This window comes from Homo sapiens, chromosome 19 (assembly GCF_000001405.40).
Source record: "Homo sapiens chromosome 19, GRCh38.p14 Primary Assembly".
Classification (NCBI taxonomy): Eukaryota; Metazoa; Chordata; class Mammalia; order Primates; family Hominidae; genus Homo; species Homo sapiens.
In genome coordinates, this window is record NC_000019.10 from 28061292 (window position 1) to 28076601 (window position 15310).

Below are 15310 nucleotides of genomic sequence, written 5' to 3' on the forward strand. Positions count from 1 at the left end.
TTGGACCCACCCCAGAGGGTCACAGCTATCATCATAAGACCCAGCTCAGATGTACACAGCTGTTCTCATTGGGCTCAGCCCAGGTGGGCCAGTGCCAATGAGTGTGACTATAATACCTTACCTGGACCCAATTAGCACGGGCAGGAACAAATTGGCTGATCCCAGTGAGGATGGCTATGAACATCTGGGTTGGTGGCAGTGTGGAAAAATATGACTATCTTGGCTGGCCCCAAAGAGAACCACTGTAAACATCTGGGCAGGTCTAGAAGAGGAAAGCTCTGAAGACAGCCATGAACTCCTGGGCTGGCTATGATGAGGACAGTTGTGAACAACTGAGCTGGACCAAATTAGGACAGCTGTAGACACTCATGCTAGGCTCAGTGAGGACAGCAGTGAACACCTATGGTGGCCAGTGAGGTCAGATGTGAACACCTGGGCTGGCCCAATAAAGAAAATAATAAACACATAGGCTTGTTCCCATGAGGGCAGCTTTGAACACCTGAGCTGATCTTGTTGAGGACAACTGTGAACACATAGGCTAAGCCGTATAACGACAGCTATTAACACCTTGACTAGGCCCCTGTGAGAACCACTGTGCCACTGTGAACACCAGGGCTAGCGCCAATGAGGATGGCTATGAACACTTGGGCTGACCTTGATGATGACAACTGTGAATGGTACCAACTTTGCTGGCACTGATGTGGACCACTGAAAACATGTCAGCTTGTAGTGATGACAGATGTGAATGCCTAGGCTGGGCCCATTAAAGAGATCAGTGAACACCTAAGCTGACCCAGTGATGAAAGCTTTGAACACTTGGCCTGAGGCCAATCAGGATAGCTGTGATCACCTGAGTGATCGCAATGAGTACAAAGCTGCCCAATGAGCACAGCTTTGAACAACTGGGTTGACCTTGATAAGGATGGCTGTGCATACCTGGGCTGGGCCCAGTAAGGCATCAATTAACACCTGGGCTTTGCCTATATGAAGACAACTGTGAATACTTGTGCTGGCTCTCATGAGCGTGGCTGGGAACGCCTGAACTGGCTCTGATGAGGACGGCTACAATACCTTGGCTGGGCCCTGTGAGCATAGATGTGAACACTTGAGCAGGCCCTGATGAGGACCACTGTGAACATCTAGGCTGGCCCTGATTAGGAAAGGTGGAAACACCTGGGCTGGGCCCAGTGAGGATGACTGTGAACATTTAGGCTGTACCCAATGAGGATAGCTGTGAAGAACTGGCCTGGGTCCCATGAGGACAGGTAAGAATGCCTGGGCTTGGCCCTGTGAGGACAGCTTTGAACACCTGAGACAGCCCAGATGATGATGGCAGTGAACACCTTGGCTGGTCCCAGTGAGTGTTGCTATAATAGCTTGGCTATACCCGATTAGCGTAAGTGGGAACATATAGGCTGGACCCAATGAGGATGGCTATGAACAACTTAGCTAGGCCCAATGAGGATGGCTGTCAACTCCTCAGCTGGCTCTGATGAGGACCACTGTGAACATTTGGGCAGGCCCAGATGAAAATAGCTATGAACACCTACGCTAGTCCTGATGAAGACAGCTAGGAACACCTGGGTGAGGCCCAGTGAGGACAGATATGAAACCTGGGCTTGCTCTCATGAGGATGGCTGTGAGCACCTGGTCTGGCCACTATTAAACAGTCTCTGAACACCTAAGCTGGGCCCAGTAAGGACAGCTATTAACATCTGTGCTGCCCAATGATGACAGCCGTGAACACTAAGCCAGATAAGGATGGCTATGAACATTTGGGGTGGCATCAAGGTAGATGGCTGTGACCCGCCAGGCTGGCCCTGATAAGGATGGCTCTAATTCCTTGGCTGGCCCAAATGAGCATAGATGTGAACACCTGGGCTGGTCCCAATGAAGACAACTGTGAATACCTAGGATAGGCCCGATAAAAACAGCTGGGAACACCTGGGATGGCCTTCATTAGGATGTCTCCAACACCTGGACTGGGCCCAATAGGATGGCTCTGAACACCTGGACTTGCCCTGATGGGAACCTCTGTAACCACAGTGCTGGGCCCAATGAGGACAGCTATTAACATCTGGTCTGAAAACTAGTGAAGAGTGCTCTGAACACTTAGGCTGGACCTGATGAGGATGGCTGTGAACACCTGACCTGACCTCAATGAGGGCAGCCATGTAAAACTCGGACTGGCCTAGTGAGTACGGCTGTGAATGCCTGGGCTGATCCTGATGAGGACGACAGTGAACATGTAGGCTAAGCCCCATGAATACAGCTCTGAAAACCTGGACATTGCTCCTATGAAAATGATTGTGAACTCCCGGGCAGGCCTCAGTGCCCTGTGGACCTGACTCTGGGGAGACCAAAGTAGCCCTCTGAGACCTGCACCCTGCCCCAGAGAGTCCCCGCATCCTCACCTCTGTGCCTTCCCAGTGACCCCCGCACCTCTGCCTGTGTTGCAGATTCCTCTAACATGAAAGAGTCATGATGTGGGGATGTCACCCTGGCCCAGAAAGGATACAAATCATGATGCTCTGGAAGATTTTATTTAGCAATGTCTTGTATATAGCTGATGTTATATTTGTTGTTCTTTTATTTGTTGTTTTTATAGTGGCTTTATTTGTTACGTCATTATATTTGTCTTGCTATATTATTTGTTGTCTTCTATATTTGTTTAAAGTTACATATTAAGTAATAGTTATCCCCTTCTAATTGCTTATAGAATATTTTCCTGTGAAATGAAACCCATGATAGGAAATCTCCCTCAGCAGAGCTAGGACTCACTGAATTAGAAAGCAGTCCCTCCAGTGACTGCCACTCTCTCTCTTATGTCTTCCTAATTTCATCTTAATTGGCCGAAGTACCAGCAAATACACCCTCACTCATTGTCTTTACATCAGTGTCCTTCGAGAGATTGTTGTCTGAAATCTGTTCCTTCCTCTGGAAGGGATCCTGGGAACAACCTTCCCCACGGTCTCCACAGTGACTTAGCTGTCAGGGCCTTTCCTGCCCCATGGTCAGCACAGCTGGTGTGAGCTTCCTGGCTCACTGGCGCTTTCCCTGAGTGTCTTCAGAATTTTTCTCCATTTTTTTCCAGCATAGAGTATTTCTTGCTGAGAGGTGGATGAGAGTCTAATTTTCACTTCTTTGTGTATTACTCACTCTTCTAGTCTAGATGCTTTAAAAATGCGTTTTGTCTTCAAGTTCAGGAGTTTACTCAAATATCATTTGCTGTTAGCCATTTCACATCAATCCTCAGTATTCTTTTGAAGAAACACTTACAAAACATTGTTTTTATTTTCAGAAAAAATTGGAATGATCGTTGTTCATATTTCCTTGTGTCTTTGCTTTGATTGTTCTCGTTCAGGCACCTTAATCATGCATCCATTTGGCTACTCTCCCTAAACATTTATAACCTCTTGCTCATTTTCTTTTGAAATATTCTCCTCACTTTAACCTTCTGTTTCTTAGAAGGCAGAAGCTGTCATTGTGTTGTCTCTAGTTTACATTTTATAGCTGAAGAGTGTTTCCAATTATTTTTCTTAGTCTTTTTGGAGTTTCATCCATGCATTGCTCTATTTCTTTAATTCTGATGAATGGTGTCCTTTTGTGTTTGATATTATTTTCTTAATGCCTTTGATCTCATTGTTGAAAAGGCCACAGTCCAGTGGGTGAGTTACATTGAGGTGGGAACTTTCACATTTTCTAGTGGTTTTACTCTATAAGTATTCATTTTGTCTATTACATGTCTTTGTATGAGAATTGGCATCAATATATTTCTGTTGCTGATTTTTATATGGATTTTGTCTTCATGAATTTGTAATGAGCATTATAATTCAGAAACCTTTTCCAACCTCATAGAGCTTCTCTCTCTGAAATCTCTGTGCAGTGCTCACAACTATGACACCGGTTTCCTGGAATTTCCTGCCTCTGTGCTTCTCCCCTTCTGTAACAGGAGCCTCCTCCCTGGTTTCCTCCACTGCACTCCAATCCTCTCTTTGGAACCTGCAACTGAATATTGCTCCTAAATGGGAAGACTGTCTTGCAAGGGGACAACTGCCACAATATTGCCAAAATGTAAGCTGATTCACTTTAAGTGCATATTCACTTTCCAGATCATTTTGTTCTTTTCTGTTATATATCTGAAAACCGGTTTCTTCTCTGACTTATTTTATTTATTTTTATTTGTCAGTATTTTATTCTTATGATTATCAATTTTTACTTTTTTGTGTATTTAAGATTTTTTGTATTTTGATGTTTATATTTGAGTGATTTTAGACTTAATTTTCACATGATTTTAGATGTATCTCTTTTCAAAGTGATTTGTTGTTTGCTGTGGGGATTTATCTTTAGGTATTGGGTGGTTGTTATTTATTTTGAATCCAGTAGATTCCCAGACATGCAGGGTCATGTCTAACTGGGCCACAAACTCTTTCTGCCTCTTGACATTTTCAGGCATAGACAACAGGCTCTTCACAGTGCACTGTGGATGTCACAAAATCCCCATAAATTGTCCTTAAATTATTGCCCATGTTTTATTAAAAAGTATTATTTAGGAAGTAACCTCTGAAAAGAAAGAACTCTTTTAATTTTCTTTACTAATATTTAAAAATTTAGTCCACATATAAAAGCATGTCTGTCATATTATGCCCCAAATCCTCTTATTGAGCAATTGGAAAACATATTCCTAAGCTGAGGCTTACAGTCATTGCTCGTTATCTGCAGGGGTTGGTTTCAGGACCCCCACAGATTCCAGCATCTGACAATGCTCAAGTCCCTGGTATAAAGTGGCACAGCATCTGCATATAAGCCATGCCCGTGCTCCTGTGCACTTGAAATCATCTCAGATCTCTCCTCAACCCCATAGGCAGGAACTGCTATGCAAATAGTTGTTATCCTCTCTGCCAGCCCCTACCTCCACCTACCTTGTCTTATGCCTCTCTTCCATGTGACTTTTCCTGAGCTGCATTTTTTAATATGAAATAAACCTGTACATATGAGTAGAGTGCTTTTCTGAGTTGTCTGATTCATTCTGGTGAACCTGAGGGAGGTGTTGTGGGAACTCCTGAATTGGTAGTCTGCCAGGAAGAAGCCTCGGCAGCTAGGCCACCCCATTGGTTGCTGGCATCTAAGTGAGGACAGTGCTGTGGGACCGAGCACATAATCATAGGCCTGCTGGCCATTTGTATGTCATTTTTTGAGAAATGTCTCTTCAGGTCATTTGACCATTTTTAAAGAGATTATTTTGTTTTGCTGTTGACTCGAGTTCCTTATATAGTCTGGATATTAATTTCTCATTCGATGGATAGTTTGCAAATATTTTCTCCCATTCTATAGGTCATCTCGTCACTCCCTTGATTCTTTGCTGTGCAGAAGTTTGTTAGCTTGTTTTGGTCCTATTTATGTATTTTTGCTCTTCTCACCTATGGTTTTTTTTAAAAATCTCAGCCCAGACCAATGTCTAGAGGAATTTCTCAATGTTTTCTTTTAGTAGTGTTATATTTTCAGGTTTTCCATTAAAGTCTCTAATCCATCTGGATTTGCATTTTGCATATAATAAGAGATAGGGGCCCAGTTTTTTCTCTACCTTTGAATGTTCAGTTTTCCCCTTATTTATTGAAGAGACTCTTCTTTCTTTAATGTATGTTCCTGGTGCAGGTAGGAACGGAGTGCTAGTAGGAGCTGGGTGCATGGCTCGAGTAGGAGCAGGAGCAGAGTGCTGGTAGGAGCTGGGTGCACAGCACAGGTAGGAGTTGGGCACGGGTAGGAGTGGGGTGCTGGTAGAAGGTGGGTGCACGGCATGGGTATGTACGGAGTGCTAGTAGGAGCCGGATGCATGGCATGGGTAGCAGCGGAGTGTCACCGCATGCCTCCCTGGAGGACCTGTCGGGACTGTGGCCCCAATGGCAGCCTGGCCCTGCCTCAATGGCCTGGGCTCTGAACTGCAGGATCTCACAGGTGGAAGAAACCTTGGAGACCCGCAGCCCCCAGGGCCATGGTGGCTCCCAACAGGGGAGGGCCACCCAAAGCCCCCTCCCATGGTGCCCTTGCCAAGGAGTCCCTGGATGGGCCTGTTTAGACTCCTTTGATGATGGGGCCCCCATGACCCCAGGACAGCCCTGACCATCTCTTACTCACTGTTGACCTTCCTTCAGACCAGGAGATGCACAATATTTGCCAATAGGAATCTCCCATCTTCCCTTAATTCAACTGTTTCACTGACATCCCACAAGCACCACCCCCCATCAGGTGCCCTTAACCTGTGTCCTCGACCCCATTGACCTTCAGAAGGCCTCACCCATCCAGTGGCTCCATGGCAGAACAGGTCTCCCAGAGCCCAGGCCATGGAGCAGAGCCTCCCGTGGCACCAACAGTGGCAGCAGTACCTGTGCATGCTCCCATGTCCTGAGCATGGACTCTGGACAGAGCAAGGTCAGGCTGCAAGGCTGTCTTTAGTCAGGGCCTGACCCTAGGACAGTGTGGAAACACTGGAATGGTTTCAGAAAGGGATGGACAGCATTGGATTTGAGGTCCTTAAAAGTGACTTTGGGTACTGTGTCGAGAGTGGATGGACTGGCAGGAGTGAGAGGCTCAGGGCAAGTGAGGAGGCAGCTGAAGAACTCAAGAGGCAGTCAAAGGGGGACTCGAGGGTGGGAGGAACAGGCACATCTGTTCACAGCTGTGCCTCAGAAGCCCTGTGTTTCACACACTTGCCGATTTCAGAAAGGGCCATCCATCATTCTCATGAAGTGTCTACTCATTCTGAAAGAACTCATCTAGATCTTGAGTGGCTGCCTGTTCTTTCCCCTTAGAGTTACAATTATCATTTTCATTTACTTCCAACTAATAAATGCAAGTGGCTGATTCTGATGAGACCTGTTTCATTTCCTGCTTGAAAGTCTAGAGCAAGAATACTTAGCTCAGAGACTGAAAGTCTAGAGCAAGAATACTTAGCTCAGAGACTGATCTGGATGAGGCTGGGGAAGGAGACCACCAGAGCTTAAACGAAGCCACTAAAAGCAGTAAGAGAAACAACTGTGAAGCCTGTGAGAAAAGCAGGGTGTGTTTCTGATAAGGAAAGGTATTAAGTGTGAAGGAAATGTTTTTATTAAAGAAAAAGTACTTTGTCCTTAACTAAAATGATTCGTTACTCCAGAATGAAAAAAAAAAAAGAGTAGGGCAAAATATAAATGGACATAGAAAGTTGTAGAAGGTTTGTGGAAGGCAAATGCATATGTGGTGAAGCCAGTAAGATTAGATACATTTATTTATAAAATTCATTAAATGTGGCCAATAGTGTACCGATGCAAAACTAGAATTTCTATTTCTGTCTGTTAAAACAATGGTTTCTTAGATTGTTGGTCGGCTTTTTAAAAAGATTGTAAAAAGTTTTTCTTTACCTTTTAAATTATTTGCCCAGGAAACAAAGATTTTGTATCTAATCATCATAATTTCTTGGGCTTAATGTTAACCTTTATCAGGTCCTTGCTTATGTAAGAGAATTAGTGCTCCTTACTTTTAAAAGTGCCTCTCAAAAGCAGATCCTAGATGAAACTTTCTTCTCCAATGGTCTTGAGATTTCCCAGAGGGATTTAGAAAAACCTGAGAGAATTTGTTCTTTCATCTCATGAGGAGATATGTTCAAAATAATGTGGTTTATTTGATAAGTTCAGTTGCCTGGAAAGATGATGTCAAATAAGAAACAAAAACCTTCCCTTGGTTTTATTTGCATGGGTAGAAAGTATTAACATAAATATTTCAGAAATTGTATGAAATTCCTAGAAATGTGTCAGTGTCTCTACTGCTCATAATGTGTCCGGGTATGTTATCAGTCATAATTCCAGCTGTTACTTTTAAATGTTGCATGCCATGGAAATCACCTAAATCCCTTGTGAATTGCATTATTTTTATAATGAGGTCTCAATAGGCCTTTAATATGGTCATTTTAAGTCTTGTCATTCACAGATTTTGTTATTCTCTTATTCTTCTTTAAAATATTTTCAGTTACCAGCCAAAGTGGCTCCTCTTCAAAAAAAAAAAAAAAAGTGATGGTCTGAGACCCATAGGGGCTTCGAGTAAACGTTTCCGATGACATTTACTTACATAATTTTGAGATCATACCACTTGACTGAGTTAAGATTTGCAGAATGAATGGAGGAGCTGACGGATGCATAAAACTGCTAATTCAAGATCAAGCAGAACAGAATTTAATCACATAGGACTGAATGAACTGATAAAGAATGATAATGGATTTTGTTTGAAACATTACCGGCTCACCCAGGCGCAGTGGCTCACGCCTGTAATCCCAGCACTTTGGGAGGCGAGGCAGGCCAGTCATGAGGTCAGGAGTTCGAGACCAGCCTGACCAACATGGTGAAACCCCGTCTCTACTAAAAATACAAAAATTATTCAGGTGTGGTGGCGTGCACCTGTAATCCCAACCACTCCAGAGACTGAGGCAGGAGAATTGCTTGAACCCAGGAGGCGGAGGTTGCAGTGAACTGAGATCGTGCCATTGCACTCCAGCCTGGGCAACGGAGCGAGACACCATCTCAAAACAAACAAACAAAAAACTCATAAAAAAAGAAACATTGCTGACTCTTTAATGTAGTATTTTCTGGGTGTATGGAACTCCTTTCTCTTTTCTGTTCAGCTGTCTACAACTCATAGACTAAATTTTGTGAACAGAAATAAACATTTTATCTTCTCCCTGCCTGATTCCTTCAGAATTTAGAAACTCTTAAGGGCAATAAAATTATTTGCATAAGTTCAAAAAGAATCTGTTCTCTTTGCAACAGGACACAATTAGAAATATTGGTTATATTACCAAGGCCTTGACTGGAATGTCATATTTGGGAATAATGCATAAAATCAGACATGACCAGACAATTTTAAGGAAATAAGATAAACTTTATGGAGCCAATGCCTACAAAGACTTCTTGAGGAAACCAGCCTGGCACCTGGCTTATAGGGTTTCCAGGCATACAGGTGACTAAGGAAAAACCACTTCACGGCATCCCCAGGAAACAGGATAATTTGGGGACCCGGAAAAAGAAGAATTCATTCACATCTATCGGTATTGGAGGTGATGGCTTAGCTTATCTTCCTAGGCTTGGGTTTCTAGGCTCAAGAGTCTTTTAAAGGCTAATTGGAGATTCTGTATTACAAGTTACAGAAAAGCTTGTCTATGTGGTCATCTCTTCTTGCTGCAGTCATATAAATAATCAGTTCAAATCTAATAAGATTACTTATGTTGTAAACAAGAATAAATTTACTTTGGTTATTTTTTATCAATTAACTGGGAGGCAATGACTATAGAAACTTCACATTTCCATGGAGACTTTCCAAACTAATGTTTGCAACTTTTCTCCTTCCCTCCTGACTTGGCTTATCTGAGAACTAGAACTGCCCTTTTCCCCAAGCCCTGCAACCTGAAACTGCATGACCTGATATAAGTTTCAAGAAAATCACACAACAACTCAAGTGTGGACAACCTTCATGCCTGCTGCTGTGTAGGCCACTCAGAAAGCTCCCCAGCACACTGCACAGTATCTCCAAAGATACTCAAGCTGCAAATGGAAAGAACCATTGGATGACCTTGCTTTTCCTCACTCCAGCATGTAAAGGTGTTTCAAGCCCAGCATTTACAAATCTGGGCTAACTGCCCTCTGGACTCTGAAGTAGTAGTTACTCTCATTTTCCTTTTTACTCATAGAGATTTTCATCATTAAATGCCTAAATGCTTGTATCATCCAGCAAATATCCCCCTCCAAATGAGAAATAATCTTGTATTGTTCAAAGGAAAGAACAATGTCTCTTTGTTCTTTGAATAAGGGGGCCAAGGGTAACAAAGACTATCTCGTTGACCAAGCTAGAGTCAGCCTCCTCTAAGTCCTCTTTTTGACTAGGCCACAGCTTTGAGCTCTGCTCTTGGCCCATTTAGTCCAGTTTTAGAAAGAACCCTGCTGAATCCATTTAGCAAACATCCTCCACTCTTGGTATCTGATCACTGTCCATATCTGACCAAATGCCAAATTGCTGACCCTCAACATGTTGTCATCATGGCCTGCCTTCAGCAAGAATCCTGGTGAGTTTTAGCCTTGATGTGTTCTCTTAGGAATTTACCATCCACTGATCCCAGCTCTGCTTCTTGGCTATAAATCTCCACTTGTCCTCACTGTATTCAGGGTTGAGCTTGATCTCTCTCCCCTACTGCAAAACCACATTGCAGTTGTCTCTTCTGGAGTAGGCTTCCTTGTCATCTTTAAGTGTATGAGTTTTTTTCTTAAAAAAAAACAATAGTTAGGGAGGACAGGTAGCATTAGGAGATATACCTAATGCTAAATGACGAGTTAATGGGTGCAACACACCAGCATGGCACATGTATACATATGTAACTAACCTGCACATTGTGCACATGTACCCTAAAACTTGAAGTATAATAATAATAAAAAAAGGTTATAAAAACAAAATAAAATTTGCATTTAGTGTACACAGTCTGATTGCCCTGAAAACTGTCTTTCCTAGTTTGTTCTCCAACCAACATGTGCAATGTGCCTGGGACCATGCCCTCTTATCAAGGGAAAGGCAGGAGAGAGCTGGCATGAGGGCCATTCAGGATATGAAAGTGGCTGGGTGTGGTGACTCACGCCTGTAATCCCAGCACTTTGGGAGGCCGAGGCTGGTAGATCATGAGGTCAGGAGTTCAAGACCAGCCTGGCCAAGATGGTGAAACCTGGTCTCTACAAAAAATACAAAAAAAAAATTAGTCTTGCGTGGTGGCGGGCATCCCAGCTACTCGGGAGGCTGAGGCAGAGAATTGCTTGAACCCGGGAGGTGGATGTTACAGTGAGCTGAGATGGCACCACTGCACTCTAGCCTGGGCCACAGAGCAAGACTCCGTCTCAAAAAAAAAAAAAAGAAAGAAAGAAAGAAAGAAAGTGATGTGAGAACAAGATGTTCCTGATGTGGACATCATGAACGACTCCAGACTGGAGTATCAAGGCTGACAAGGCTGGAAAGATTCCCTTGCTGAGTTTTGCAAGATATGCACAGTAACCATATACTAATTTTGAGTTGCAAAATTGAAGAATTGTTTATATATGTCCTCATCTTACAAGAACACCTGAAGTAGCTCAGTTGTAAGAGATTTAGATTGCAAATCAAAAGGTACTTGGATGGGGCCCAGGTTCCAGTAGGATGATCACCTTTTTTATATCCAGGTCTCATTTCAGTCATAAGAAGTATTCACAGCAGAGCTTCCCCTGCAGGATGCTCAAGTATATTTGCTGTGGCAACTGAGGGAACCAAGCCTCAGTCATGTTCCCCAGAGCTTGCCCATGGCATTTACATTTGCAAAAAGTAAATCTCTTGATTTCCTTTTGGTTTCAGTAGTGTGATTTCCTTTTCAAAAATAATAGCAAGTGATACTAGTTTACATATAAATAGAAACTGTAAAGTTCCTTTGTTTTTACTATTTATCAATATATTTAATAATTATATATATTTATATAGCCTGAAATAATGCAAACAACTTTAAAGAATTGACACATTTGTTTATATTTTACAGGTAAAAAGATTAAAATTTTGGCTTATTTGCCTGAAGTCACACTGCTAGTTAAATGACAGAGCTAAAAAATGTTAAATAAGTTGCTAAATGAATGTAATTAATTTGGTTTGTTTGTTTCCTAAAATATTGATTTAAATGTCTTTATTTAAATTTTAAAATGATAGCATTTGAAAGAGTATAAATAAAATTCTTAAGCCGCAATAGTAAAGGAATTTAGTTACAATGCATGAAGTTAGAAGCAATAGCTTTGGATTTGTAAATGTATTCTTGAAGGGTGTCATAAAGAAATATTTTATTCCTATTTTTCCTTTGTTTTGTTGGAGTAGTTTTCCCCCATCTTTAATGAGGTATAATTGCTTTACCAGTTCGAATAGGTTTTTATAGCCATTGTGGAGTCTTTAGATTTTTCTATGTATATGATCATGTCAACTGCAAATAGGGAGAGTTTTTCTTCTTCCTTTTAGATTTAGATACATGCTATTTCTTTTTCTTCTCTTATTGCTCTGGATAGAAGTTCCAATACTATCCTGAATAGAATCAATGAGAGTGGATATCCTTGCCTTGTATGGGATTTTAGAGGAAAGGCCTTCAGCTTTACACCATTGATTATGTTAGCTGTGAGTTTATCACCTACGGCCTTTGTTGTGTGGGGGATATGTTCCTCCTATACCTATTTTATTGAGAGTTTTTTTTAATCAATAATAGAAGTTGAACTTTGTCAAATGGTTTTTCTCCATCTGTTGAGATGATCACATGTACTTTTTCCTTGTTTGTGTATTCACCACATTAATTGATTCACATCAGCTGAACTACTCCCATATCCCAGAGATATATTTCACTTTGTCATGCTGTATGATCCTTGTAATGTGCTTTTGAATTCAGTCTGGTCATGTCTCATTGAGGATATGTGCATCTATGTTCATCAGGGATACTGGCTTGTGGCTTTATTTTCTTGCTCTTTTTCTGGCTTTGGTATCAGTGTGATGCCAGCTGCATCAAATGCATTTGGAAGTGTCCCCTCTACTTACATGTGCTGGAAGCATTTGATAAGGATTGTTATTATTCTTCTTTGAATGTTTGGTAGAATCCACTCACGAAGCCACCTGGTTCTGGGCTTTTCTTTTTTGGGAGGTTTTTGTTTGTTTTTTTAAAATATTATTCATTTTTCCATCTTTATTGAGGTATCATTAACAAATAAAAATGTATATGTTTACAGTATACAAAGTTATATTTTGATACTCATATTCATCATGAAATGATTTCCCCCAATCAAACTGAGTAACATGTTCTTCACCTCACATACTTATCATTCTTTTTGGGATATGGTAAAAACGTTTATGATTTACTCTCTCAGCAAATTTTACACATTCAATACAGTAATATTAACTAGTCACCATGCTGCACCTTTGATCTCCAGAACCTATTCATCTTGCATAACTGAAACTTGGAACCCTTTTACCAATATCTCCCTATTTTCCTCACCTCTCAGTCCTCGGAAACCATCATTCTACTCTTGGTTTCTGTAAGTTCAACTTCTTTAGATTCCACATATCCTGCGATTATGCAGAATTTATCTTCTGTGTCTGGCTTGTTTTGTTTAGCATGCCCTCCAGGTTCATTCATGTTGTGGCAAATGATAGAGCTTTCTTCTTTTTAAGCCTGAGTAATATCCTATTGAGTATATACAGTGCATTTTCTTTATCTATTCATCCATTGATGGATGGACACTTAGTGAGGGTGGCATGTGGATAGGAGGCGTTCTGCATTTCTCCAGTTAGATCTCAGTCTTTATTGAGCCTGTGTCTCTGAACTTCACATGGGTTTCTCAGGCTTCTCCCACGAGGTCGCAAAGGATAGCTAAGGTGGACTGGAGCTGGACATTTCCCTCCCCCAACACAGAGGGCTGGAGCTAGCTGAGATCCAGTCTCACTTTCCCTACCTAGGTCAGTGAGGTTCTGATAAAATCTTAGAAAACTTAGGTTCTGGTTAAGTAGTTTTGCCTGAGGACAGACTTTGTTAAGCACAGAGCATTCTGGTAGCATGAGTATTTCCCCCCAGTATTTACTGTGAGAACCTGGTTGAGCTACTGGAGGTCAAAACCACAAAACGATCTCGCTTCCCCATGACTGAGTGCCCCTGGTGTTTTTAGTTCTCAGGCCAGTCCACAGCCAGCCTCTAGCAGCTTCATTGCAGCTGAAGCTCTCCTGCCCTAGCCTGGCTCCCACAGAGCTTTCTGCACTTGTGTGTCTTGACTCCCTGCATTCATTTTCCTGTCTCTGTAATTTTGAAAGCAGCAGTTGCCCCATGAATTTAATTATTTTGTGAATCTATGATGAATAGTTGATTGTTCAGCTTTGTTCTTTTTGTTAACATGGTGTATCAGTCCATTTTCATACTGCTATGAATAAATAGTAGTGTGGGTAATTTATGGGTAATTTATTACTGGGTAATTTATGAAGAAAAAGAGGTTTAATGGACTCACAGTTCATATGACTGGGGAGGCCTCCCAGTCACAGTGGAAAGCCAAGGAGGAGCAAAGTCATGTCTTAGGTGGTGGCAGGCAAGAGCCTGTGCAGGGGAACTCTCCCTATTTGCCGATGACATGATCATATAGGTAGAAAAGTGATAGTGAGACTTATTCACTATCACAAGAACAGCACAGGAAAAACTTGCCCCCATGATTCAATTACCTCCCACCAGGTCCCTCCCAAGACATGTGAGGGTTATGGGAGCTACAATTCAAGATGATATTTGGGTGGGGACACAGACAAACCAGATCACATGGAATGGTGACTTCCAAACTCCTTATAGGCAGAACCCCAGACTGCAGGGGTGATGGCAGGAGGCAGTGCATGGTTAGGAAGCTGCACAGTCATCCTGTTCAGAGGAGATCAGGCTCTGGCCAGGTAGAATAGGTGGAGGGACAGAAGCAGTCAGGTGTGGACATGCTGTGAAGCTACAGAGAGGGGCTCTGCCGATGGAGTGGAGATGAGGTAGAGAGAAGACAGAAGTCAAGAAAAACAAAACAGTGGGAACCTGAACACCTGTGGGGATGGAGCTGCTCTCATGGAAGAGGAGGATGAGGGAGGTTGGGCTCAGGGGAGGGGTCTAGAGCTTGGGCTTGGTGTGTTAGATGTCAACATAGAGATGTTGTGGCAGTGGCTGTGTAGCTATGAATCTAGACTAAATGAAAGAGTGTGGAATGGATAAATACAGAGGTCATATCAGTATGGGTGGCATGTAAAGCCAAGGGGCTAGGTGAGACCAGCAAGGGGATGAGTTTCTGAAGAACAAAAGTGACGCAAGAACTCATTCATGAGTCAAAGCTAATGGTAACAGGTTTGAGAGAAAAATAGAATCCAACAACAGAGAAACAGAAAGGATGGCCAGTGAGATTGGAAAGAAAATAGCCCACTGAACTGGAAGCTAAGTAGTGGAGGCATTTCAGGGAGAGAGGGATGGACTGTGTCAAATGCGGCCAGTAGAGAAAAGTCAGAGGGACCTATTTGGGTGATGGGAGTGTTCTAAAATGGAATTGTGGTGCTTGTTTAATTCTGCAGATTTTGTTTTAAATTAATTGAGTTGGGTGAATTTTAGGACATGCAAATAATAGCTCAATAAAGTTGTTTCATAAAATATTAGCATATATCAACCCAGATGTTCTACTCCCAGAGAAAATAAAAGCTCATATTGATCAAAAGGACATATGCATATATCTATAATATATTCATAATACCCCACATT

The 15310-nt window shown here is 42.2% G+C and overlaps 3 annotated features.

Annotated features, from left to right (window-relative positions):
* Positions 9505 to 9564: an enhancer, noted in NCBI's record as "active region_14402". NCBI's record gives its function as "activates an Ori minimal core promoter by ATAC-STARR-seq in GM12878 lymphoblastoid cells {active_cell/tissue: GM12878}" and the evidence as "EXISTENCE:reporter gene assay evidence [ECO:0000049][PMID:35858748]".
* Positions 14234 to 14293: an enhancer, noted in NCBI's record as "active region_14403". NCBI's record gives its function as "activates an Ori minimal core promoter by ATAC-STARR-seq in GM12878 lymphoblastoid cells {active_cell/tissue: GM12878}" and the evidence as "EXISTENCE:reporter gene assay evidence [ECO:0000049][PMID:35858748]".
* Positions 14384 to 14493: an enhancer, noted in NCBI's record as "active region_14404". NCBI's record gives its function as "activates an Ori minimal core promoter by ATAC-STARR-seq in GM12878 lymphoblastoid cells {active_cell/tissue: GM12878}" and the evidence as "EXISTENCE:reporter gene assay evidence [ECO:0000049][PMID:35858748]".